Genomic DNA, 26,709 nt, shown 5'->3' with positions numbered 1-26,709 from the left:
GAAGAGAAAAACAAATAATTTGAAAGGGAAAAACACGCCCACAGTATACTGCAGTTTCAGTTTGCTGAAGTCAAGGAGGCCCTGAAGCAAACAGAGGAAATGCTCGAGAAACATGGAATAATCCTAAATTCAGAAATAGTTACCAATGGAGAGACTTCCGACACTCTCAGTAATGTTTGATACCAAGATCCTACCAAGATGACGAAAGAAGAGTTAAATGCCCTCAAGTCGACAGGGGATGGGACCCTAGGAAAGCCAGTGAGGTGGAGGTGAAGAATGAAATCGTGGCGAATGTGGGGAAAAGAGAAATCTTGCACAATACTGAGAAAGAACAACACACAGAGGACACAGTGAAGGATTGTGTGGACATAGAGGTATTCACTGCTGGTGAGAATACCGAGGACCAGAAATCCTCTGAAGACACTGCCCCATTCCTAGGAACCTTAGCAGGTGCTACCTATGAGGAACAGGTTCAAAGCCAAATTCTTGAGAGCGCTTCTCTCCCTGAAAACACAGCACAGGTTGAGTCAAATGAGGTCATGGGTGCACCAGATGACAGGACCAGAACTCCCCTTGAGCCATCCAACTGTTGGAGTGACTTAGATGGTGGGAGCCACACAGAGAATGTGGGAGAGGCAGCGGTGACTCAGGTTGGAGAGCAGGCAGACACAGTGGCCTCATGTCCTTTAGGGCATAGTGATGACACAGTTTATCATGATGACAGATGTATGGTAGAGGTCCCCCAACAGTTAGAGACAAGCATAGGGCATAGTTTAGAGAAAGAATTCACCAACCAGGAAGCAGCTGAGCCCAAGGAGGTTCCAGTGCAGAGTACAGAAGCAGGTAGGGATCACAACGAAGAAGAGGGTGAAGAAAAAGGATTAAGGGATGAGAAACCAATCAAGACAGAAGTTCCTGGTTCTCCAGCAGGAACTGAGAGCAAGGGTCAGGAGGCGACAGGTCCAAGTACAGTAGACACTCAAAGTGAACCCTCAGATATGAAAGAGCCAGATGAAGAAAAGAATGACCAACAGGGAGAGGCATTGGACTCATTGCAGAAGAGAAAGAACAAGAAAAAGAAAAAGAAGAGGAAAAAATCCCCAGTACCCATAGAAACCCTTAAAGATGTTTAAAAAGAGTTAACTTATCAGAACACAGATTTAAGTGAAATTAAGGAAGAAGAGCAGGTAAAGTCTACTGACAGAAAGTCAGCAGTGGAAGCCCAAAACGAGGTGACTGAAAATCCAAAACAGAAAATTGCAGCAGAAAGCAGTGAAAATGTTGATTGTCCAGAGAATCCTAAAATGAAGTTGGATGGAAAACTTGACCAAGAAGGCAATGATGTAAAAACAGCAGCTGAGGAGGTACTAGCTGGTAGAGACACATTAGATTTTGAGGATGTCACAGTTCAATCATCAGGCCCGAGGGCTGGTGGTGAAGAATTAGATGAAGGTGTTGCAAAAGATAATGCTAAAATAGCTGGTGCCACTTAAAGCAATCCTGAAGAACCAGAGAGCGAAGATGCAGATCACTGCACCGTACCCAAAAATGAAAGTCCCTCACAGGACATTAGTGATGCCTGTGAAGCAGAAAGTACAGAGAGGTGTGGGATGTCAGAACATCCAAGTCAGACCATCAGGAAAGCTTTAGACAGCAATAGCCTAAAAAACCATGACTTGTTGGCACCAGGAGGAGAGCCGGGGGACTTCAATCCAGAAAGCAGAGAAGATACCAGAGGAGGGAACGAGAAGGGCAAAAGCAAAGAAGACCGTACCATGTCCTAAGCTGAGGCAGGCGGCAGGCGTGGTGCACAGGAAGTCTGAGTGTGAGGGGCTCTTTTCTCTCCACTGCCAATGTAAGTAGAATGTTCTAAATTCATAGAGATGCACTGTATGCCAATCACCAGGTGATCTACTGCTTTAAGTTATAGACTGTTACTTGTAGATTTCCATGTAATCATTGAGGTTATCACCCAGATTAGAAAGACATATTTGTTATCAGTGTACATTCTAATTGAGAGCATATATCCAGTAGTATCAAACAATAATGTCTACTGTTTATAGTCCACTTAATAAAAATAGAAGCATTTACCATTTGCCTTAGGCTGATAGGAATGTGAATATTCTTGACCAAATATATCAGCATCTAATTGAAATGACCAAATAGCATTCTTAGACTTCTGTATTATGAATATAATTGATATTTAAATTAATGTCTTGTTCATATATGTGTACTTTCATATTTGATTTTAAAATATACATTATAACCTGTATGGTATTTTATTTAAAGGAGATAAACCGCCAAATAGCAAATAGGTCACTGAAAAGATTTGCACCTTAGAACAATAATCATTTTAAGGATAACAAGTAAAGGTCTGAAAGCATGAGGGGCTTTATTTGCCTTCACCTCATATAAGTCTTTGATTTTGAACCAATGCTTTTGGATCTCATTGTTGATGATACTTGAATTTACTTTGTAGGAGATTTTAACTTCATGCTGATGATGTATCAAATTCATTTTATACAAAGTTTAAAGATTTTTTCTGGAAGTGATACATGTCAAATTACATTTCCTACTGCAGTATTTGAGCAGGGACAGTCATTTTTTAAATGTTTTTGGCCGGGTGTGGTGGCTCACGCCTGTAATCTCAGCACGTTGGGAGGCCAAGGCGGGTGGATCACCTGAGGTCAGAAGTTCAAGGCCAGCCTGGCCAACATGGTGAAACCCTGTCTCTACGAAAAATACAAAAAATTGGCCAGGCGTGGTGGTGGGCGCCTGTAATCCCAGCCACTCCGGAGGCTGAGGCAGGAGAATCGCTTGAACCTGCGAGGCGGAGATTGCAGTCAGCCAAGATCAAGCCATTGTACTCCAGCCTGGACAACGAGCGAAACTCTGTCTAAAAAACACACACACACACACACACACACACAAAACAATGTTTTCATGCCTGTAACCCTAGCACATTGGGAAGCCAAGTTTGGAGGATCGCTTGAGGCCAGGAGTTCAAGGCTGCAGTGAGCTATGATTGCACCACTATACTCTAGCCTGGGAGACAGAGTGAGACCCTGTCTCTAAAAAAAAGAAAAAGTTTTTGAACCTTAAAATTACTTCTCTTTGTTTGAATTTCTAATCATCATTCAAAAGAACAGTAAAAAAAGGTTACTTGTTCTTGTGCAAACTACAAATTAGACTGGAGTAGGATATTTTAAAGAGCTGAATCACTTTTGGTATTTTGTTATAAATGTTTTCATTTGTTATGTCCCAGTATATTCTTATTGGAAAATTCTTGTTTTGATCTGCCTGAAGAAAATATCTGTTTTCTATATAAAGAAACATTTAAAAATAATTGTAAAGTTAGATTTAATTGTAAAATATAAAATCACAAAGGAATGTACCTTATGAATGTTGACATTTTATGAAATTATGTAGATTCATATTACTGTTACAAGATAGAATTGAATGCAAAAAGACCAAATCCTCATTAAAATTTGAGGAAAACATAAGTGTTATTATGTAATTGAAATAAAAACATTTTATAGTTGTAAAAAAAATTGCAAGTGGAACCATCTTAAGTTGGGGGACCATCTATATGTATTTAAATCTAGTCTGACAATCTTTATATTTGAAAAACAGTTTTTTTAGAGATAGGGTCTCACCTATCACTGAGGCTGGAGTGCAGTGGCACAATCAAGCTTATTGCAGCCTCAAACACCTGGGCTCAAGCAATCCTCCTGGCTCAGCCTCCTGAGTAGCTAGGACTATAGGTGTGCCACTACAACTGGATGGTGTTTTAATTTTTATTGTGTAGAGACAGGGTCTTGCTATGTTGCCCAGGCTGGTCTCGAACTCCTGGGTTCAAGTGATTCTCCCACGTTGGTTTCCCAAAGTGTTGGGACTATAGGCATGAGCCACCACAGCCTGCCCTACTCTCTATCTTTTAACTGGATCATTTACTCCATTTAGTTTTATTGTAATTACTGATATACTGATGCAATAACATTATTCTATCATGTTATTTTGTGCTATTTGTCCTGACTTTTTCATGAGTTTTTCCCTCTTCTTTATTGCCTTTTTTGGATTGATTTTTTTCCCTTCCATTCTTTGTTTCTCTACTAGTTTGGAATTTCTGGAGTATCACCTAAAAGAGTAGAGAAAGGTGATATTTCTATTTAGCATGCATATTTGAACTTTTCAACATGAAATTAATGTCTTTATTTTTCCCCATGGAAAAATTATCACTGTTACTCCCTCTAAATTATATTCTCTTGTCATGTATTTATCTTTTCTTTTAACCCCACAAGACATAATAGTAATAAGATAATTACTATTATTATTATTTTGTAGAATTAATATCTTTTTTTTTCTTTGAGATGGAGTCTTTCTCTGTTGCCCAGGCTGGAGTGCAGTGGTGTGATCTTGGCTTACTGCAACCTCTGCCTCCTGGGTTTAGGTGATTCTCCTGTTTCAGCCTTCCGAGTAGCTGGGATTACAGGTGTGTGCCACCACGTCCAGCTAATTTTTGTATTTTTTGTAGAGATGGGGTTTCGCCATGTTGGGCAGTCTGGTCTGGAACTCCTGACGTCAGGTGATCTGCCCACCTGGGCCTCCCAAAGTGTTGGGATTACAGGCGTGAGCCACTGTGTCCAGCCTAGAGTTAATATCTTTACTTACCTGTTTACTTCTGTATTTGCTCTTCATTTCTGGTTAAATATCAGCTGTTATCTGGATTTTTTTCGTTCTGCCTTGAGTAAATACTTGACCCTTTTCCTTCAGTGAGGGTCTATCAAGGACAAACTCAGTTTTGTGTTTGAAATGTCTTTGTCTGAAATGTCTTTATTCATTGAGAGGATTTTTTTGTAGACATAGAATTCTGTGGTTACTTTTTCTCAGTATATTGATAATATTCTTGCCTTATGGCTTCTAGTCTTGTTACAGAGAAGTAAGCTCTCAGCCAAATTGTCATTACTTTGAAGTTAATTTGTCTTTTTCTTTGGCGACTGTTAAGATTTTCTCTTGTCTTTGTAGCTGTGCAATATATCTGTGATGTGTTTAAGTGTGGGTTCCTCTTTATTTTATTCCATGGGCTTCTGGAGTCTGGGAACTGGGTCTTCAATCAGTTCTAGAATTTGACTATCTTTTTAAAATATTGCTTCTGACTTATGTCTCTTTTCTTCTGGAATTCTGAATAGATATTATGTTACACTATTTAATCTATCTTTCATGTCTCTGAACCTCTCTTTAATACTTTCCATTTAAAAATCTCTCTGTATTATACTCTGGCTATTTTTGCAGATCCAGCTCTGTGTTCACTAATTATCTTCTCAGATGTATCTAATTGAGTGTTATGTCTGTTCATTAAATTTTTACTTTCAATTATTTTATTTTTGATTTCTATAAATTCTTTTTTAAATATTAGCTCTACATTTTAGAATTCCTTGATTTCTGACATTTTGGATCCTTCCTTTATTTCTTTAAATATGTTACAGATGTGTATTTTATATTCTATGCAAATATCTGAAATTTTTCGTGGATCTCATTTTGTGGTCTATTTTTTTTGCACTCAAACGCCTTGATTTCCTGTGTGTTTTATGACTTTTATTTTATTTTTTATTATGTATTTATTTATTCATTTTTTTTTGAGATAGAGTCTTGCTCTGTTGCCCAGACTGAAGTGCAGTGGCACGATCTCAGCTCACTGCAACATCCACCTTCTGGGTTCAAGTGATTGTCCCACCTCAGCCTCCCGAGTAGCTGGGATTACAGGTGCCTGCCACTACACCTGGCTAATTTTTGTATTTTTAATAGAGACAGGGCTTAGCCATGTTGGCCGGGCTCGTCTCAAACTCCTGACCTCAGGTGATCCACCTGCCTTAGCCTCTGAAAGTGCTGGGATTATAGCCATGAACTACCTCGCCTGGCTGTTGTGTGTTTTATGACTTCTAAATGAGTGCATATACTCCTTGGACATTTATATACGTCTTCTTTTTTTATTTTATTTTATTTGAGACGAGTCTTGCTCTGTCGCTAGGCTGGAGTGCAGTGGCGCAATCTTGGCTCACTGCAACCTCCGACTCCTTGTTCAAAGGATTCTCCTGCCGCAGCAGCTAGAATTACAGGCACGTGCCACCACGCCCAGCTAATTTTTTGTGTTTTTAGTAGAGATAGGGTTTCTCACCATGTAGGCCAGGATGGTCTCGATCTCCTGACTTCATGATTCGCCCACCTCGACCTCCAAAAGTGCTGGGATTACAGGCGTGAGCCATTGCGCCTGGCCTATAGAATTCTTTTAAGGCCTAAGTTAAATGTGTGTGCCTACAGAGAACATACGTATTTAAATTTGCCAGGTTGCAGAGGGCACTACCTACTTAAACAACATTACACGAAATTCTTAGCTTGAGATTTTTGTATTACCCAGGTAGTATGAATTCAGGCTGTAAACTCCCTTGAGGATCCCCTTGAGGATTATCTAAAATTTCAGGGGAGATTGTAGTTTTCCTCTTTTAGTCAGTGTTAAGGTTTGAGAAAGGCATTTTCCTTGCCATTTCCTATGGAGTGGTACGGTGTGGGTGAAGGGAGAGGGGCTATTTCCAGTTCAACCTGACACTGACTTTTAAGTCCTTTGGGGTCCCAGCTCTAGTTGGATGGTATATTAAACTACATACCTCGGATAGACCCTGGACATTGTCTCCTGTCCCTGTGACCCTATAAACTGTGAAACAAAAGCTCAAGTTCACCAAGTTCCGCAAATGCCCTCAAGTTAAAACTTGACTTCTGTCCACCTTCCTTTCTGGGTTCCTACTTTCACATAGTTTTTGTCTTTTGAGTATTTCCAATTCTTTTTAAGCTTTGGCCAGAAGTTTTAGTTGTCTGTAGTTAGAGTGGGTGTCTAGTGTACCATACCACTGAAACAGAAGCCTGTTACTTTTACAATAATAAAAACATATCTATGTGGGCTTTTTAAAAAAATTTTTAAATTTATTTATTTACTTTTTTTTTTGAGATGGAGTCTCACTCTGTCGCCCAGGCTGGAGTGCAGTGGCATGATCTTGGCTCACTGCAACCTCTGCCACCCGGGTTCAAGCGATTTTCCTGCCTCAGCCTCCTGAGAAGCTGTGATTACAGGCGCATGCCACCGTGCCTGGCTAAATTTTGTATTTTTAGGAGAGACAGGGTTTCACCATGTTGGTCAGGCTGGTCTCAAACTCCTGAGCTCAGGTGATCTGCCCACCTTGGCCTCCCAAAGTGCTGGGATTACAAGCATGAGCCACTGCACCTGGCCAAACCTATCTATGTTTTAGTTTTTTATGATTATTTTATATTATCCCTTCCCCACACATGAAATAACTTCTTTCCAAGTGACTTATGAAGTTGTCAACTTTTCATAAAGCCTTGGAACAAAGTGGGCAGAAAAATTATAAATAAAAAGTCTTGTCTAGGACAGTACAGGTCTGTCTTATTCCTAAATTAGATCAGAATCGGGTTATGCCGGTTTTTTATAACATACCATTATAATTGGGTATGTTAAAGAATGTATTAGAGATGCATTAGAAGAGCGACCTCATTATAAGCCTCTTCACCCATGGATTCCAAGGATATCTTACAATAAACCTCTGGGATACCTTACGCTACAGAGCAACTAAAGTCCAGCTTTAGAGCACAAGGGAAAATGCAGGATATTGGGTCCTGGAAACTACAAAAACCATCAAACTCTACTTTAGGGCTAAAACTTTCTTTTAATCAATCTGTCATATTTATTGATAAATTAGAAAATGTGGCTGGGTGCAGTGGCTCACACCTGTAATCCTAGCAGTTTGGGAGGCCGAGGTGGGTGGATCACGAGGTCAGGAGATGGAGACCATTCTGGCTAACACAGTGAAACCCCGTCTCTACTAAAAATACAAAAATTAGCCGGGCGTGGTGGTGGGCGCCTGTAGTCCCAGCTACTCAGGAGGCGGAGGCAGGAGAATGGCTTGAACCCGGGAGACGGAGGTTGCAGTGAGCCGAGATTGCCCCACTGCACTCCAGCCTGGGTGACAGAGGGAGACTCCATCTCAAAAAAAAAAAAAAAAAAGTACAGGTTCAAATTTCATTAAATTTTTTTTCCATGCCCCTTCTCTGGTGGTAGGATGATAGGGGATGAGTAAAATATCAAAGACAACTAAAAATTCCTAAACTAGATCCTCGGGTCCCAAAGAAGTGTTAACCATGGAGTGCCCCACCTTCTGAGGTTGGTGCTTCCTGGCACAGGCTCTTGGAACATTCTGGATTGTCTGACATTCCTTTTACTCGCTTTAGAACCTAAAGATGTTGCTGGGGGAAAAGGGAGCTAGGGAGAGGGAAGGGGAAGGATGTGGGATAAGGCATAAACTATGCTTGTGGGAAAAAAACAACCAGTAATTTCCTTGATGGGGTTTTTGCTTGACTTTAAAATGCAGTAAGCTTTTAGGAAGCTTGATGGAGCCTGTGTTTCTACCATTAGTGCTGCATTTGTTTGGCTTAAGATTTCATTAAGCTTCTTAAAATGGAGATACTTCTGGAACTCAAATGGCTACTGAGCAGGGAATGGCAAATCAGTGACACTGTAGGAAGTGGAGGGATTTTGGCAAACTAGAGAACACACCTTCCACAGGGGCAGCCACTGCTCTGCTGGGCCCGCTGTTCATCTGCAGGGACGTGCATCTTGGGATTATTTCCAAAGTCAGAACTCAGCATTTTTATGAGAAATGTCATGATTTTTAAGGTCTTAACAAGTTATCCCACATTAAAAAAATAATAATAAACCAGGCCGGGTGCAGTGGCTCACGCCTGTAATCCCAACATTTTGGGAGGCTGAGGTGGGTGGATCATGAGGTCAGGCGTTCGAGACCATTATGGCCAACATGGTGAAACACTGTCTCTACTTAAAATACAAAAATTAGCTGGGCATGGTGGCCGGCGCCTGTAATCCCAGCTACTAGGGAGGCTGAGGCAGGAGAATCGCTTGAACCTGGGAGGCGGAGGAGGTTGCAGTGAACTGAGATCGTACCCAGCCTGGGCAACAGTGCGAGGTTCCGTCTCAAAAAAAACCAAAAAACACAAAAACAAAAAACGACAGAGAAGGCCAAACAAAACACATCTGTGGGCTGGATGCCGCCATGCCCACCGGTTTGCGACCTTTGTGTTGGACTCTTCTGTTCACCAGACACCCTGCCCTGCGAGAATGTATCTCATCCTTTGCTGGAGCAGGTTTGCAGGCACAGTGGAGAGAGGAGAGAAGAAATGAAGGGACACTTATGCAGAACCATGAGTGGCCAGAGAGGAGGAGAAGGAGGGTGAGAGGAGCAAAGAAGCCATGACAACTTCATAATTCTGAGTGGACTGGGCAGTGGCCAGAAATTCTGGTGGTGGATATGCTGCCTTTCCAACAGGTGAATATGAAAGAATAAGTCAAACCCTGTTCAGGACGCTGTTAATTCCAAATGTGAACTTTTTGAGTCATTCTTTCCATGTGGAATTCAAAGGAGAATGTAAACAAATTTTCAGGAGGGACGTGCAATATCCCTGAAAGATAACAAAGTTCGTAACACTTATTTACATACAACATTCTCTAGTTATTGATTAAACAGATCTCTACAGACTTGCATGAGGCAACATTTCTTAGGCTTGTTTGCTACAATATCTTTAAAAATACTTGATTACACATCACTTTAGCTTATTTAGATGGACTTTTCACCAAGCTCTGAACTGGGATTTCATTTTGTTGCATTCATCCTGCTCACGAGACACAGGTAGGCAGCAAATGAGATTATCCCTCCAGTCCCCATGGATTGGAAATGTTCCCCCTTCTTTATGAGCTCACTGCAGTATCTCCTTCTCCCTTTCCCCAAAGGACAGCCTTTCCTGCCTCAGGGAAGAAGAGAGAGACAGACTACAGTGATGGAGACCCACTAGATGTGCACAAGAGGCTGCCATCCAGTGCTGGAGAGGACCGAGCCGTGATGCTGGGGTTTGCCATGATGGGCTTCTCAGTCCTAATGTTCTTCTTGCTCGGAACAACCATTCTAAAGCCTTTTATGCTCAGGTAAGAAACAGAGGAAGGAAATCTAGAGTTTCCAATTCAGATAAGATCCAGGCACAGCGGTAAAGGAGGAGAGGCTGGCTTTGGTTTCTCAATCTGTGACTCTCTGCCATGGTCTAGAAAAAGAAAAATACAATTCCTCTTCCGCTGTCAGTGCTGGGGGCAGCTGGGTGTGGAGGAAGAGGTGGCGAGAAGGTCAAAGATATTTCCCTGCACTGCCTCCTCCCATCTCATAATCTATATATACCTCCAAACACGTAATCCACAAATTATAGTTTCTTCATTTAGGTCATAAATCCTCCCCTTAAAATGTTGGTATTCCAAGAGAGAGTTAAACCTTGTATGTGAGCACAATAAAAGTTTTTTGAGTCTGAATTTTTTGAGTTTGACAGTGTCTACCTGGCACATAGTAGTTGCTCAATACATATTAGTTTCCTTCCTTTTAATTAGGTTCTTTATTCAATATATGTAGTGATACAGTTGACCTTTGAACAACATGGGTTTGAACTTCGGGAATCCACTTATAAATGGATTTTCTTCTGTGCCTGCCACCCCTGAGACAGTAAGATCAATCCCTCCTCTTTCTCCTCCTCCTCAGCCTACTCAACATGAAGAGGACAGGGAGAGGACCTTTATGATGATCCACTTCCATTTAGTAAATAGTAAACATGTTTTCTCTTCCTTATGATTTTTTTTCTTCAATTTTTGTTTTAAGTTCCGGGGTACATGTACAGAATGTGCAGGTTTGTTACAAAGGTAAACGTGTGCCATGGTGGTTTGCAGCACAGATCAACCCATCACCTGGGTATTAAGCCCAGCATGCATTAGCTATTCTTCCTGATGCTCTCCCTCCCCCTACTCCACTGAGAGGCCCCAGTGTGTGTTGCTCCCCTCTAGGTGTCCATGTGTTCTCATCATTCAGCTCCCACTTTTAAGTGAGAACATTCAGTGTTTGGTTCTCTGTTTCTGCATTAGTTTGCTGAGGATAATGGCTTCCAGCTTCATTTCATCTATGTCCCCGCAAATGACATGATCTTGTTCTTCCTTATGATTTTCTTTCCTTTTCTTTTTTCTGAGACGGAGTCTTGCTCTGTCGCCAGGCTGGAGTGCAGTGGCACGATCTTGGCTCACTGCAACCTCTGCCTCCCGAATTCAAGCAGTTCTCCTGCCTCAGCCTCCTGAGTAGCTGGGATTACAGGCGCCTGCCACCATGCCCACTAATTTTTGTATTTTTAGTAGAGATGGGGTTTCACCATGTTGGCCAGGCTGGTCTTGAACTCCTGACCTTTGAACTCCTGACCCTGTGATCTGCCCGCCTTGGCCTCCCAAAGTGCTGGGATTACAGGCGTGAGCCACCATGCCTGGCCATGATTTTCTTAATAACATTTTCTTTTCTCTAGCTTATTTATTTATTTTTTTAAGAGAAGGGGTTGGGCCAGGCGCGGTGGCTCACGCCTGTAATCCCAGCACTTTGGGAGGCCGAGATGGGTGGATCACGAGGTCAGGAGATCGAGACCATCCTGGCTAACATGCTGAAACCCCGTCTCTACTAAAAATACAAAAAAATTAGCTGGGCACGGTGGCGGGCACCTGTAGTCCCAGCTACTCAGGAGGCTGAGGCAGGAGAATGGTGTGAACCCAGGAGGTGGAGCTTGCAGTGAGCCGAGATTGCGCCATTGCACTCCAGCCTGGGTGACTGAGCGAGACTCTGTCTCAAAAAAAAAAAAAAAAAAAAAAAGAGACGGGGTCTTGCTCTGTGACACTGGAGTGCAGTGGTGTGATCACAGCTCATTGCAGTCTTGAACTCCTGGGCTCAAGCAGTCCTCCCACCTCAGCTTCCTGAGTCAGTGGGATTACAGGCATAAGCTACTGTGCCTGGCTATTCTAGCTTATTTTATTGTAAGAATTCAGTATATAATACATATAAACATACAAAATATGTCTTAATCAACTGTTTATTGGTAAGGCTTCCAGTCAACAGTAGGCTATTAGTAGTTAAGTTTTTTTTTTTTTTTTTTGAAGCAGGGTGTCACTCTGTCACCCAGGCTGAAGTGCAGTGGTTCAATCATGGCTCACTGCAGCTTCGACCTCCTGGGCTCAGGCGATCCTCCTGCCTCAGCCTCCCAAGTAGCTGGGACCACAGGTGTGTGCCACCATACTTGGCTAATTTTTAAATTGTTGGTAGAGATGGGATCCCCCTATGTTGCCCAGGCTGGTCGTGAACTCCTAAGCTCAAGTCATCCTTCTACCTTGGTCTCCCAAAGTGCTGGGATTACAGGCATGAGCCACCATGCCTGACCAGTAGTTAAATTTTTGAGGAGTCAAAAGTTATATGCAAATTTTCGACTGCAGGTTTGGGGGTGTGGTGTTGGCATCCCTAACCCCTGAATTGTTCAAGGGTCAACTTTAGTTGCTACTTATTAAGTATATGCTGTATGCTCAATACATACTATATTTTATCCTACTTAAACCTACAGCAGCCCATGATGGAAGTGTTATTTTAGTTTTCATTTTATAAATGAGAAAGCTGAGGCTCAGAAAGGCCAAGTAACTTGCCCAAGTTCACATAGCCGGTAAATAATATGCCTGTCATTCTGACGTAAGACTTGCTTCTTAATACCTAAATGATGTTTGCTGAAATGAGGGGAATGGGGGTTCTGATTAGGGAAGGGGAGGGGCTATTTAATTTTGTAGGATGGCCCACACAACATGTGGTACTCTGGGGCCAGGTCAGTTCAGGGTAAAAGGAAGGCAAGGGGTGCTTTTTGGACATTGCTTTATTTTTGGACAGCCCTTTTTTTTTTGGACAGCCAAAGAGCAACAGGAGGCCCAGGGGGAGTGGAAGAGGAAGGCCTAGGAGTTCAGTGAGGGAAAGGGGTCATAAAAAAGGAAGAGAGTGGCCTACTTCTGTTATTTATGATTCATCTCCTGCCATTCCTAGGTTACCATTGTTAGGGGAAAGATGTAGAAGTCACCATTTACTATAGCACACAGTGCCACTGTTGGAAGAATTCCAGAAGAAGCTTCTCTCTGGTATTAGCACCAGGAGAAGCTGTGCTGCTCCTGATCAACCAGCTTACTTTCATTTAATGGACGCCAGGAGTCTTGTATCTGGTTGTGTTTCCTTCATTGCTTTGGCTGCTAGGAAACCCAGAGGCAACTTTGTAGCTCGGTTCTCATAACTACAAGGGATCTTATGGTCTGCAGATTACATGTTTGTACCTCACTTTTTTTTAAACTTTTTTTTTTAAGAAGTGGGATCTCACTATGTTGTCCAGGCTAGTCTCAAACTCCTAGGCTCAAGCGATTCTCTTGTCTTGGCTATACCTCACTTCTGACTTCATTCTGTCTTTTTTTCCTCTTTTTCATTTACTCCTTTTCCTCTCATCATATATATATATATATGCATTACATGTCTATGTAATTTGATTGAATGTTTGAATGTATGGGAATGTTGAGTAAATGTCCGTGTGTGTGCACAGGCAGATCATTTTTAAAAATGTGACATATTTGGGAGATGGCTTGAGGGTACCTTCTGCAAGCTGGTACCAAACTGTTGCTCATAATTAAGTTTTACTTTTCTAAGCATTCCTGGAAATTATTTGGTTAAATTAATTAAGTGAATGCCTAAGAGTGGTGAGTTCTCATCTCTCTCTTGCCTTACATCTTGTGCCATCTCAGCGAGTAGTTTTGCTCCATAAAGGGTGGTAGTTAAGAAGCCCTGCGTAGTTCATACCTATCCCCACTCCCTCAACCTCTCATCCCTCAATCAGATGATGGATTTTGTCACAGCTGTAGCCAAATACACACCCGATGCTATTGAAGGAACATGCTTATTTTTTAGCCCTAAATACATCCCTGGTTCCACCTGAAAGGCTCTGACCGGGGCCTTGTGCATGGGACAGAATGTCCCACTCTATTTTGAAGCTTTCTAAAATCTTTAAGGAAAATTCAAATCATACTCAGTTCAGTACTCGGTCAAGATTTAGAGAGCTTAAGTTCTAACAGATAAAAAAGTAACTCTAAATTATTATTTCAAGATGCCTAGTTAAAATAAACATATAAATTAATTTAGTGAAAAAGCAGGCCAGTGCTAAGTCTATGAAATAATCTTATTTTCCGCTTTTGTATTTTCACTTGCCCAGTATTTTTTCTTTGGCCATATCTAGTGATTTTTATACCCCAGACCTTGAGGCCATGTTAAACTGCACAGTGTGTCTCAAGTTTGTTATATTAATAAGGGAAAATGATTATTTTGGTCAAAGAGATTAGTGAGAGTGCATTATGAACCTAGCTAAATATTGCTTTTCGAACATTCTTACTTTTTTTTTTTTGGGACAGAGTCGGCCTCTGTTGCCCTGGCTGGAGTGCAGTGGCACAATCTTGGCTCACTGCAACTTCTGCCTCCCGGGTTTAAGCAATTCTCCTGCCTCAGCCTCCTATATAGCTGGGATTACAGGTGCCGGCCACCATGCCCAGCTAATTTTTGTATTTTCAGTGAAGACGTGGTTTCGCCATGTTGGCCAGGCTGGTCTCAAACTCCTGGCCTCAAGTGATCTGCCCGCCTCGGCCTCCCAAAGTGCTGGGATTATAGGCATGAGCCACTGCGCCTGGCCCTGCTTTTCAAACATTCTGACTTTAGAGCTTGCTAATCTAACTTATTATGTTTAAGGAACCGGTAAGTAAACACAGGAGTCCACCTATATGTGAGTGTGAGGGTATATGAAGAGCTGGTCTCATATATTCAATCAAAGCGTTTCCTCTTCCCCTCGTTTACTTTGTCTTGGACTTGTTTTCAAATTATTTCATACATATACACATGTCCTTTCTCTTCAACATCACCACAAGGTCTTCATGGCAGGAATTTTGTCTGTCCCTTCTGGGATGTTTTGCATATGTATTACATGTGAAAATTCTCAAGAAATTTTCCAAGTAAAATTTAATTCAGACCAGGAGCCGTGGCTCACGCCTGTAATCCCAGCACTTTGGGAGGCCAAGGTGGGAGGATGACGAGGTCAGGAGTTCAAGGCCAGCCAGGCCAATGCGGTGAAACCCCATCTCTACTAAAAATACAAAAAATTAGCTGGGCGTGATGGTGCGCACCTGTAATCCCAGCTACTCAGGAGGCTGAGGCAGGCGAATCGCTTGAAACCAGAAGGCGGAGGTTGCAGTGAGCCGAGATTGCACCACTCCAGCCTGGGCAACAAGAGCGAAACTCCATCCCCCCCCCCAAAAAAATTAATTCAGTACAGCACTTATTAAACATCTACTCAGTGAGAAGCATTCTGTTTCATGCTTTGAGGAACATACGGATGAATTGGATATAGCTCTTGACCTCTAGGAACTTAATTGATAGCAAAAATATGGTAAGTATTCTACTGAGAGATTCCATGTATGATTTGCACTTGCCTCTTTGGAAGTAGTGGGTATGTGGAATTGTACCTTGTTGCCAGAAATTGTGTAGGCTATGTTGACCAACGGCCCTGTAGTTAGACTCCTTCCAAAGGCACATTTTCATCAGGACAAGCCAGTGCATCTTGAGATGATGAGCATGAGAGGTGATGAGATTCCTGAGTGAGGGTGAATCTTGGTGGTTACAGCATTATGGTAATGCTAACACTGTTTACACTGTGGTTCTCCAAATACCTGCATCTTAAATACTATTAAAGATTCCTGGGCCTCAAGTCAGACCTACCAAATCAGAATTTCTGGAATGAAGCCCTGGAATCCACAGTTTAACAAATTCTTCATTCTAACAAACTCACAGATGATTCTGAAGTTTGAAAACCACTGGTGTAGTGAGAAATATGCCAGTAGGGTCATCAGAAGTGAGGTGGAACTTGGCACTTTGTGGCTCTTTACCCCAACTCTGTGTCTTCCATGCTCCCTGTTTATTATGTGCCTGCTGTAAGGATCCTGCACCACCTCAAAATACACAAATGCCTTGTACACAAATGCCTTGGGCATTGTGTACATAAGCTCATAACCACACCAAAATGTAGAATGAAATTTTCTAATAAGTGAAGAACATTTTTTTTTTTTCAAATTGAAGCATTCAGAGAGAAGAATCGACCTGCACTGCCATCCACACAGATATCATGGACGACTGGCTGGACTGTGCCTTCACCTGTGGTGTGCACTGCCACGGTCAGGGGAAGTACCCGTGTCTTCAGGTGTTTGTGAACCTCAGCCATCCAGGTCAGAAAGCTCTCCTACATTATAATGAAGAGGCTGTCCAGATAAATCCCAAGGTATTGTAAAGTTTAAAGAGTTCTTATGACAGCAACCCTTCCCTGCCAGACTGTCCCTAGCAGGGTACATAAATAACCCAGGGCTGTCTTTAGGGATAAATCTATTTTTTTGGAGTGAACATTTTTATAGTGATCAAATCAGGATAAATGAAGCTTTCTTCTTGGTGGAGAAATGGGGTATATAGAAAGGAGAGAAATTATTCCAATTTCACAACTTGGTGTCTGGAATTTATAGGCTGAGCCAATGAGTAGTCATTTGTGGGGAGTCTTTCTTTTGGAGATTCCACTCCGCGCCATATGACATATGCTACAGTGTACTCACAGTCTCCCTTGAATCAAGTAATTTTTCTTATCAAATAAATGTAAAGATTATTTTTATTTTAGTAAGTTACACAATGGGTTCATATGATTTAACGAATTATAGAAATGATCCCTGAAATAGTCTTTCATATGATTTAAAATTTATATTTATACCTAACTATAAAAGTTGAGTTGTGTTAGATTAGTTGACATGTTACATTTTATTGTCTTTAAGCATCAATTTCAATCCGATGACTTTTGTTTTCTGTTTGGGATGCAATGATTTTTAAGATTTCAAACAGTTTTTGGCCTTTAGCACAGTACCTCAAGTACCTAATGGATATGGTAATAAACCTCAAGCTTTTTTGAAAAAAGTCACCAGCTGACAGAGCTCCCTTCTCCACTGGTTCTGTCTCCCAGGAACCAAAGTCCAGGTGGGGCTCCCTCTCTGTGAGTCTAGAGCAAAAGCCTCAACGTGCTTTTCTTCAGGGTGATATTTTGCTACAGGAGATCAAGACAGAGACAACAGAGGCATTACTAAGCGTTGAAAGCTCATAGTGAGGCCCAATACATTTTTGTTCAATGGACAAACGGATTCATACTGTCCAAGAGTCCAAGAACCTGCATGTAGGGAGGAGTCATATTCCTTATGAAGTTGGTCACTGACTCTCCTGCAATGTCATATAACTAAGAATTCTCTTCCACATCCTTGCTTAATGACTGGAAATGGCCATTTCACTGTGGCCCTCCAATCAACCCTTTCCCATGAGCTATGTAATATTTTACCACCTTCTAAGATTGAAACTGCCCACTAATAACTTCAGCCTGAAGCTATTTCATAATTAAAAACTGTTAAGTATTTGGTATTGGTGACAGTGCCTTTATCTTTTTCCCTCTTCCATATTCCTAGTGCTTTTACACACCTAAGTGCCACCAAGATAGAAATGATTTGCTCAACAGTGCTCTGGACATAAAAGAATTCTTCGATCACAAAAATGGAACCCCCTTTTCATGCTTCTACAGTCCAGCCAGCCAATCTGAAGATGTCATTCTTATAAAAAAGTATGACCAAATGGCTATCTTCCACTGTTTATTTTGGCCTTCACTGACTCTGCTAGGTGGTGCCCTGATTGTTGGCATGGTGAGATTAACACAACACCTGTCCTTACTGTGTGAAAAATATAGCACTGTAGTCAGAGATGAGGTAGGTGGAAAAGTACCTTATATAGAACAGCATCAGTTCAAACTGTGCATTATGAGGAGGAGCAAAGGAAGAGCAGAGAAATCTTAAGACGGTGGCCAAATTAAAGTGCTGGCCTTCAGATGTCTGTGATTTCTGCAACTGAGGACCTAATTATGCCTGTCTGCAAACTAATAATGTAAAAGGTAATAATTAAAGTATCATATTTTCATGTGGGAAAAAATTTAAAAGCCTCATTTTGTATTCTATTTATTTCTATAAATACATACAAATTCACCATCTTTTCTAATCCCAATCTCTTTCCAAATGAGCTAAGGAAGCACTGTTTTTTTTCCTGTATAGCAAAATGAGTTCAAGATATTCTTTGCCTAATTTCAGCTCTAGCTAGAACCAGTCAATATGGAAATAAACAATGAGGGTATCTAATCTACTGAACACTGAACCATCAGCCTAACTCTATGCAATATAGTCATACTAAAATATTTCTCATAAAAAAGTTCTTAACAGTTTGTTCACTATACAAAGACAAAAATCTGGTAGAAAACTTAAGAAAACATGGAGCTAACATATTTATTATAGTTTTTTTTTTTTTTCCTTTTTGAGATGGAGTTTTGCTCGTCGCCCAGGCTGGAGCACAGTGGCACAGTCTTGGCTCACTGTGACCTCTGCCTCCTGGGTTCAAGCAATTCTCTTGCTTCAGCTTCCTAAGTAGCTGGGATTACAGGTGTGCACCACCACGCCCAGCTAATTTTTGTATTTTTAGTGTAGACAGGGTTTCACCATGTTGGTCAGGCTGGTCTTGAGCTCCTGACCTCAGGTGATTTGCCCGCCTTGGCCTCCCAAAGTGCTGGGAATACAGGCATGAGCCACTGCGCTTGGCTTTAGTTTGTTCTTTACCAGTCTAGACAGCAGAGGAAAGCTGCTGCCTAGAAAATTCACTAAGTTTAGAGTTACTAGTATTTAGCCTTGTCATGTACCATGTAATTTTTCTTTCAGTAACATTTTTCTAGTTAATTAAGCTTTTCATAAGCTCATTTCACTTTGTGCACTTTCTGGTGGGAAAAATGGGCCAGAAATATGAAGAAGCTATACTGGATTTTAACATTCATCTCAGATGATCCACATCGTATTAGGCTGGTGCAAAAGTAATTCCAGTTTTTGCTGTTAACTTTTAATGGCGAAAAACCGCAATTATTTTTGCATCAACCTAATAGAAAAGAAGTCCCACATGGATAGTCAACAATTGTCTGTACTTTAATTAATGAATCAACCATGGTTATTAAATGATGTCATAAGGCTCTCAACAAATGCTTTCCAGGTTGATTAAGCCGAATCTATGAGTGGAAAAGAGATTTTGGTCTGATTTTCCAAAGTGCCTCAAAGTATCTTTAAAATTTTATTATACTCAAAAATCTTAAATTATGGACAGTGGAATGAGACATTTGAAGCTACTTTTGTATGTAGATGTAATCAAACAAAAAACTGATTCTAAGTCAGTTTAATCCCTTTTAGCAATTAATTTCGACACATATTACTAAATTAGCTGAATACAGCAATATTGACTTGATGAGTAATGAATAATCTTGGTGTTTTCCTTTCTAGTGTGCAATGGTGGAAAGAACATGTGTCTCAGAGTAGGATTTATTTGACTTTGTAGGCCATAATTACAACTTTGGGCAAATAAGCTAACCTGTGTAAACCTTTCTTTTCTCATCTATAAAATGGGGATAACCCGTTCTTTCACGCAGTTGTTATTTTATGGAATAAGCAAAGTAGGGCAGGTGAAACTTTAGCTTAGCTTCTAGCATCTAGTAGCAGTGCTCAAAAATGTTAGATCATTTATTTAAAAATCTGCTAGGTTATAACATTCAGTGAGCCTTGGTACTTTTCACTGGACAGCTGGTATAGAGGCTAGGGATAGGGAGCTGCAGTTCATTTTCCATGCCCCTACCTGAGTTCTCTTGGCTAAATGTGATACGCATTTAAGGCCCAGAACCTGCTGTTTAAAAGGTTGTGGTAAACTATTTTGTATACCAAAGACTTCTCTGTAATAAAGTATGTAAGTACACATGAACATTTGATGTGCACGCACATTTTAAATCATCTGCACATTGAGATTCTACACTTTTCTCAAGGGCACATCTCTATTCCGTTTTTGTAAATTTGACTTCTACCTAACAATATGCAGTTGCTGGGATTTTTTTTTTCCCTAACAAATTCAAAACTGCTAATTTAAAATATAAAGCGTGTGTTTCAATTACCACAGTTTTCCATTTAGATAGGAGCTACCTGATTCATTCCAGCAAAGAGAGAGATTATCCCTGGAGAACAAAGTCAATTCAAAATTATTTAAACCATTTGGCAAATAAATAAAATTTAAGTAATTATTTGCTTAATTGCTCAGAAATACTAAGTTGTTAATGCCTATGTGCATTAATGGTCAAAGAAAAGCCCACACTTACCTTTTGCAATGTTTATGAGAACTGAAAGCAAAACCAGTTTGCTTCTAGCCTAACTTCATTTCTAGGTTCTGATCTTCAAACGACTTGGAAAAAAGTCTACTTACCTATTGCATATACATACATACATTCATACATATATGTATATACATATATTTCTTAAAATACAAGCATATAATTCTTTATGCTTAAAGGAAGTAAATATTTAAACATACATTCCTTTAATATTCATCACTTTACTGGGGTAGAAAAATTGGCTTTTAAGGTATAATAGTTTCAGATTTTCAATCAAGTATTCTTAGTCATTACTGAAAAGAACTCAAATTCAGCTAAATTTTGATTATTAGCAACACCGGCTTGCTTTTCAAAAGGAATGGCAAAAGAGAATTATCACAGTTTTTTGCTTATGTAGTACACTAAGGATTGTTTGGACACAAAAAGTAATTTTTCTTTTTTTTTTTAATAAACAGCGTGATGTTACAGACTGCAGAGTTAAAGAAAAGCAGACATTGACAGTTTCTGATGAGCATAAACAGTAAGTGCAGTCACAGGCCAAACTTCTTGCTAGGAACAGCAAGACTGGGAAGAGGTCTTAAATTTAGTGATACTGTTATTATTCTATATTCTCAATATAGTAACACATGCATCTTGCTGTGTCAAATGCTTTCTGGGCCATCATTAAAAGGACATTAAAAACGTTTTTCTTCTAATGAATGCAGTATACCACAGGACTTCAATTCACTGAATGACAAAATATAGAGAAATAAACTTGCTACAATTAATGGGGCCAAAAGGGTGGTTCGAATTTCTTGATAAAGCTTCCAGGTGAACATCTGACGTGTTAGTAGTCTTCTTTTGGTAGTGCCACATTCCCCAAGGTATTAAAATGTTATGCTCCAAAAGGGTATATTCTTTTAGATTTTATTCAACCCAATTAGGTCTGAGGACTGAATCACACTGAAACCATTAACTTCATTTGAAACTCAAAACATTTTTGAAATCAGATGAAGGCCAAGTTCTCCAACCTCTCTTAGGAACATAAGTTAAATTGAACAAGGGACTTTTAAAAATGAAATAAAAACAAAATTAAATAAAAATGAAATAAATAGATAATGATTTTGGAAATTCATACTAGAATTAAGTTTAGTCTAATTATATTTTAATATGAAACAATGAAGGTTTTCTGCCTCCTTGCCAACCTAGAAAAATTGACAAAAATAAGAATACCTAAAAGTATACATGGTTCTTAGCATAACCACAAAATTATTATAGTGACAGATTAAATAAGGTTGCAGATAGATTCATAGACTTTAACTGGCTAAAAAAATACATTTAAAAACCTTTTCTGTACTTACCTACATGAGGAATGGAGTATACTGTTGGTAGAAAAATCATTTACCTAACTACTGTATACGCACAAGGGACTAATTTTTTTCCTCCACTAAAACTCTTATATGTAGTTGTGTACAAATTAAGTCAGAAAATTTCCTCATGGCTCACACCTGTCACTTTATGCTAACTAGCAAGGCTGGAATATTAACATACCTAAAATCAAGCAGAAGAAATGGCACTGCACTAATAAAAAGGAGGTGCAAAACCTTAAGTGGAATAGGTGCATGAAGTTTATTTAAAGACTAACATCCCAACTTGGGAAACTCCTAATAAATTCTAAACTCTTCCGAATTTTAGAACCTTGATATTTCTTTACACCTTTTATAAAAGATGCCTCTTGACTAGGGCTAAGCAAGCAGTGTGTACACAAACAGAATTGTGTGCAAGTATACACACACCAAATGCACTAATAATGAAGAAGAGAGAACAAAATGAATTTCAAATGCCGAATTCGGGAACCTCCTCAAACTATTGCCTTTTTCAAATGGCTGGACCAACGATTAAACTTCAGCCAAGTTTTTTTCTTAAGGTCTTCCATATCATTAAAAACAAGGCATGCCAACTCTGACTTTATAAATCTAAAATTCAGTGATCTGCACAGTTTCTGAGCTTGAAGTATTGAATTGTGACTCATCTATTTTTTTTTCCCATTTTCCTTCTGAGGTAGAGTTACCAATCCAATTTTATCAGGACCACAGATATTTTGAGCTAAACCCCATGATCTTTTCATACAGTAAAAATAATTTTTATGAAAAAAGAAAGCAGGCTTCCCAGGCCATGGCACATAGATATATTTACAATTTTTAATGTAATAATTAAAAATGGTATTGTTTATATTTTAAAAAACAGCCCAGCTGTATTATTCTGTCACCAAGAATTATTAATTGAGGATGCTGTCAATGCTGAATTTTATAGTTCAGCCTTCACAATCCCATCCATGATGAAGAGTTGATTCTCTTACGGTATACAATATACTCTCACAACTTTCAGCCTTCTCTTAAAGACATGCCCCAAATGAGCAGGATGGATATAAAGAATGTAATTCATTCAAACAACTCCTCCCTGTTCTGCCCCCTCCCCTCACATTCCCCTCTTCTCAAAAACATCTGAAGTATGAAAGTTGTCTTTAAATAGTAAAAGCACCACAATCTATTAACACCACATATTATCTTTAAACTTAAATATTTTAGTGATGTCTTGGACATCAAAATAATTTCTTAAGGTGGACTCTTGAGTATGTGGGTCCAGCCCAGGTCTGCAGTTTGTGCAGACATAGAAAAAAGAGGAACTTTAAATATTCAGAAAAAGTTAACAGGCTAGCTTTAAAATACTGCTGGAAATTAAATTTCTTCAGAGTTGGCAAGCATGGGCTATTGATCAAAGTATGAATTAAACGGATTTACATCATTAAGAAAAAACAAATCCGTGTTATTGTGCTGTGAAATTTCCATGATGCCTTTCAAATAGGCTGCTCACAATTTTTTTATAATTCCAAATCACTCGATTTTTGATGGAAAAAAGAATACAGATGGACTGTGTTTTACCTATGTGAAAGTCACCAATCCATTTAAAATAAAATCCAAGAGGGCATATACAGTCTAATCAAGTCATCATTTTCCTGATTAATAAGAACTACACTTTACACAAAATACTTTATCAGCAGCTGTTTTCATCAAAAAATCAAGTCAGTTTCACAGTTGAAAAAGTTACACATTAAAATATTTTACAATTCATTATATATTCACCAGGTTCCCATTTTCTAATGGGCTTTTAATATAAAGCAGAATAGAAGGGAAAATCTCAAAGTTGATTACTTTGACACTAAGTTTTACATAGGACACTAAGAACCACAAAAAGCTTAGGTTCTATTGTAAAATAGCAACCAAATTCCATTCTTCTTTTAAAAATCCAATTAGAAACATCTTTTTTAAAAAAACAAATTCCACAATAAGAGTAACAGATTTCAAATTAACAGTAGTCTAAAAATCTTCAAAATAAATGGTTTTGTATAGCTGAGAATATGGTAGAAAGTGAAAGCATAATTTTCCAACAGTCATTTCTTACTACAGTGTGTTTAAAATTATTTTTATTACTTTTAGACTTTTTCTCAAAATAATTATTCAAGGAAATATTTCTTAAGTGGCCCAATAAAACTGTAGAGCCAATAGTCAGTTACACCATATTCAAGGACAAGGATAGTCAGCTATAGATAGGAACTGTCTAAACCACGAGAACTGATCTCTGATACTGAAGTACCCAGAAGTGGCTATATTATCACTGACTTGAAACAGATCTTAGTCACCCATGTAGCATTTAATTCAATGTTTGGTTCTTTGCCTCATTTCTTTCTTAGGTCACAATCTATAGTCTTTATAGAATTTGTCTACATTTCTTCTAATAGAATTAATTTGGTTGTAGTAACTTTTGAAAATAAATGTAAATGGTGAAATCGGCCATGTGGTTTGTGCATTTTAATGGTGGAGAGGTCCTGGGAGAAGGAGGGGAGACAACTATCTGGACTGATAGATAAAAATGCAAAAGTGGTATAAATTTTGTGCAAGGAGGCTCACAGCATTTTTGGCACTCGGGTAAAACACAGTTCTCTGTTAAATCTTCAGTTTCTACCATCAAACTTTCAGATTTGTACCATTTTACTGAGTTTTCCTATAATTTAACCCTGATATTGAAAAGGCTGGGATGTTAGTATGTATCAACTGCCTATATCTAAACAACACAAAATGTTAATAAGTTTTAATAAGTTATGAAATCTTCTACAACTGCAAAATAATCTTTCTGGTTTCCTGCTTAAAACAGAGTTTAAATTCTGCTTAACTATCGCAAGACAGTTTGCAGAAGTAAGTTCCCTTAATCTTCAAATTTACTTTTCTTGTTGGCAATATTATATACATGCTTTAGTGAAATACCTAAATTTCCAATAATTATGCCCTTTAAGGGATCTAAAATAGCCAGATATTAAGAGTATTGGTATTAGAGTCCCTTGTTCACTACTCAAGACTTCAACTATAGGTAACAGATTTCATAAATGAATATTTTTAAAGTGATGCTGTTTTACTAGAGTATACAATGTTCACTCTTTATAAAGTTGTTTTCCAATAATATGCCTAATCTAAAAAACTGTCAATAATTATTGCACTTTTTTGATGTGGCACCTGGACATCTGCTAAAGCTAATTTCCTAGGACATTAATCATTCATTTCAAATACAGAGTAAAATATCAGATTCTAGAATGACGACTAGCAGTAGCCTCTACATCTTGGGTTAATGTTTTTCAAAATGTTTAAGAATGTGTCCTGTGCTCAAATAGTATTTAATAAAGTTGGAGAGTGAGCTCTGACTACTTGGGAATGAGACATATCTTAAAATGGTTTAATGTTCTACTTTGGAGATATGGATAAATAGTTTAAAAAGGTAAAAAGTTCATGGTTTCTATTCCCCCATATTTTAAAGTATTATTCATGAGTATACTTCAGTAAAGGGGTTTAAGGAATCAGGAAGATAGTCTAAATTGTGTTAATTCTGGTAACTAATTTCATATGATTGAGACATTCTCAATTATAAAAGAGAATGGAAGACGGGAGATTCACATAAGAAATAAAAGGAAAGAAGATGAAGTTTTTATGTTTTCCTTAAGTAGTTATACACTGGTTATTGGTATAAATGGGATAGTGCCTGAGCCTCATCTATAGATCAAGAAGAAAGCTGACCATGCTGCTATGAACAATAAAAAATTTGGGGTGCAAAACAATGCATGACTATGGGACAGATCATGTAAATAAAGAATATATATTAATGATAGTTTCTATAATATAAATAGCCTTTAATAAAAAAAATAATCTTTTTAATAACATTAATACTTCTATTTTCTGGAAAACATGCATGAAAAATGTATTCAGTTCAATTGCAGAAGGAGAAAAAAAATCAACTTAAGGTGAATACTGTACAATTCTGGAATAAGAACTATTCCTGCTCATTCTTTTTCTATGATTTTTTTTTTTTTTTACTTTGTGGGAGCCCAGAATTTCCCTGGGAAATAAGAATAAGATCCTTTAAATACTGTCCAGAAGAAAAAAAAAAATACCACCTTATAACAGGTCTCATTTGTGACTGCTTCCAAAACTGCAGATAAAACCTCAAATCATCAAAAGGTTTGATTTATTAAAAAGAAAAAGTCTCTGGTGAAATCTCAAGAGTCCCTTCCACCCCAAGCATTTTTCTTCATTAAACAAGCAGTCAAAAACCCACTTCAAACTATAAATTGAACAGCAATGGAAAAATAAGAAATTTTCATTCTTTTCCAATCAATGTAATTTAACATAAACTCCAGTTTACTTACACCTAATGCAATAACAGCCTTTGTTGTGTCCACATTTCAAAACATAGAACATTTGCAAGACAAAAAAAACCATCACTTTTTCCTTCTCCATCATTTCTATATATTTTGGGGATTTTTGTTTTGTTTTGTTTTTTAAAAAAAGATACAAACAATCTTCAAAGTTTACCTTTTTGGACTTAAGGCATAACATGAAATTGCGCATTATTCTAAAGCTTAATTTTGAAATGAACTAGTTTAAGTGCTATCAAACCCTGTTTGCGTTTACATTATTTAAATTATATAGTATTTTATTTCTGTTCTTGCTGTAAATTCTAATGCTGTTCATGGATTGTGCAATTCCTATGCAATCGGTCTTTGCCTGCTGAGAGTTATTAACAGTGCAGTGTGGAATCCAGAGTGAGCTTTCATTTTCTCAGTTATCTTTTCAGTTCAATGCATGCTGTTTAATTGTGTGGAAGATCCAATCCATTTTTGTTGTCCAGCCACCATGATGTGCATCATTCATTTGTTTCATGAAATACTCCAAAGCCTCTTGCTCAGTTTTATCTAAGGCTAGGGTCTTTCGAATGTATGCAATGTCATCAAAAGATTGTAGTTCTGGCATTCCAGAGCCAAGCATCATTGAGAAAAGATTTATGAAGAGATTGGCATGCTGTCGAATAGCTAGATAAGCCTTGTAACACATCTCCTGAAAC

General features: G+C 38.8%; 2 protein-coding genes and 1 pseudogene across 8 annotated transcripts in view; 2 read left to right on the top strand and 1 right to left on the bottom strand.

Moving 5' to 3' along the window:
• The window catches only part of LRRFIP1P1 (LRR binding FLII interacting protein 1 pseudogene 1), a 4,308-nt pseudogene extending 765 nt beyond the window's left edge, over window positions 1-3,543 (top strand).
• Window positions 1-21,100, top strand: part of KCNMB3 (potassium calcium-activated channel subfamily M regulatory beta subunit 3) — a 27,348-nt gene extending 6,248 nt beyond the window's left edge. Inside the window, exons 1-5 of one of the 6 annotated variants that reach the window (NR_028135.2) lie at window positions 912-1,855; window positions 9,869-10,060; window positions 16,110-16,308; window positions 17,519-17,994; window positions 20,739-21,100. Coding sequence is in view for 5 of the 6 variants with exons in the window: in NM_014407.3 (NP_055222.3) it covers window positions 9,700-9,767; window positions 9,869-10,060; window positions 16,110-16,308; window positions 17,519-17,899 (840 nt within the window). In the remaining variant the exon portion in view is untranslated. Of the gene's footprint in view, window positions 1-911; window positions 1,856-9,187; window positions 10,061-16,109; window positions 16,309-17,518; window positions 18,040-20,738 lie in introns of those variants that run through there. The other 5 variants (NM_171829.3, NM_014407.3, NM_001163677.2 and 2 more) reach the window with 5 other exon arrangements.
• PIK3CA (phosphatidylinositol-4,5-bisphosphate 3-kinase catalytic subunit alpha) overlaps window positions 20,710-26,709 on the bottom strand; it is a 91,968-nt gene continuing 85,968 nt past the window's right edge. For both annotated transcript variants that reach the window (XM_006713658.5, NM_006218.4), the window contains exon 21: window positions 20,710-26,709. In XM_006713658.5, coding sequence (XP_006713721.1) covers window positions 26,439-26,709 — 271 coding nt within the window. In that variant the 3' untranslated portion in view covers window positions 20,710-26,438.

This window comes from Homo sapiens, chromosome 3 (assembly GCF_000001405.40).
Source record: "Homo sapiens chromosome 3, GRCh38.p14 Primary Assembly".
In the NCBI taxonomy this organism is placed as follows: Eukaryota; Metazoa; Chordata; class Mammalia; order Primates; family Hominidae; genus Homo; species Homo sapiens.
The sequence above is the reverse complement of the archived record's forward strand: the minus strand, read 5'-3'. Positions and strand labels throughout refer to the sequence as shown.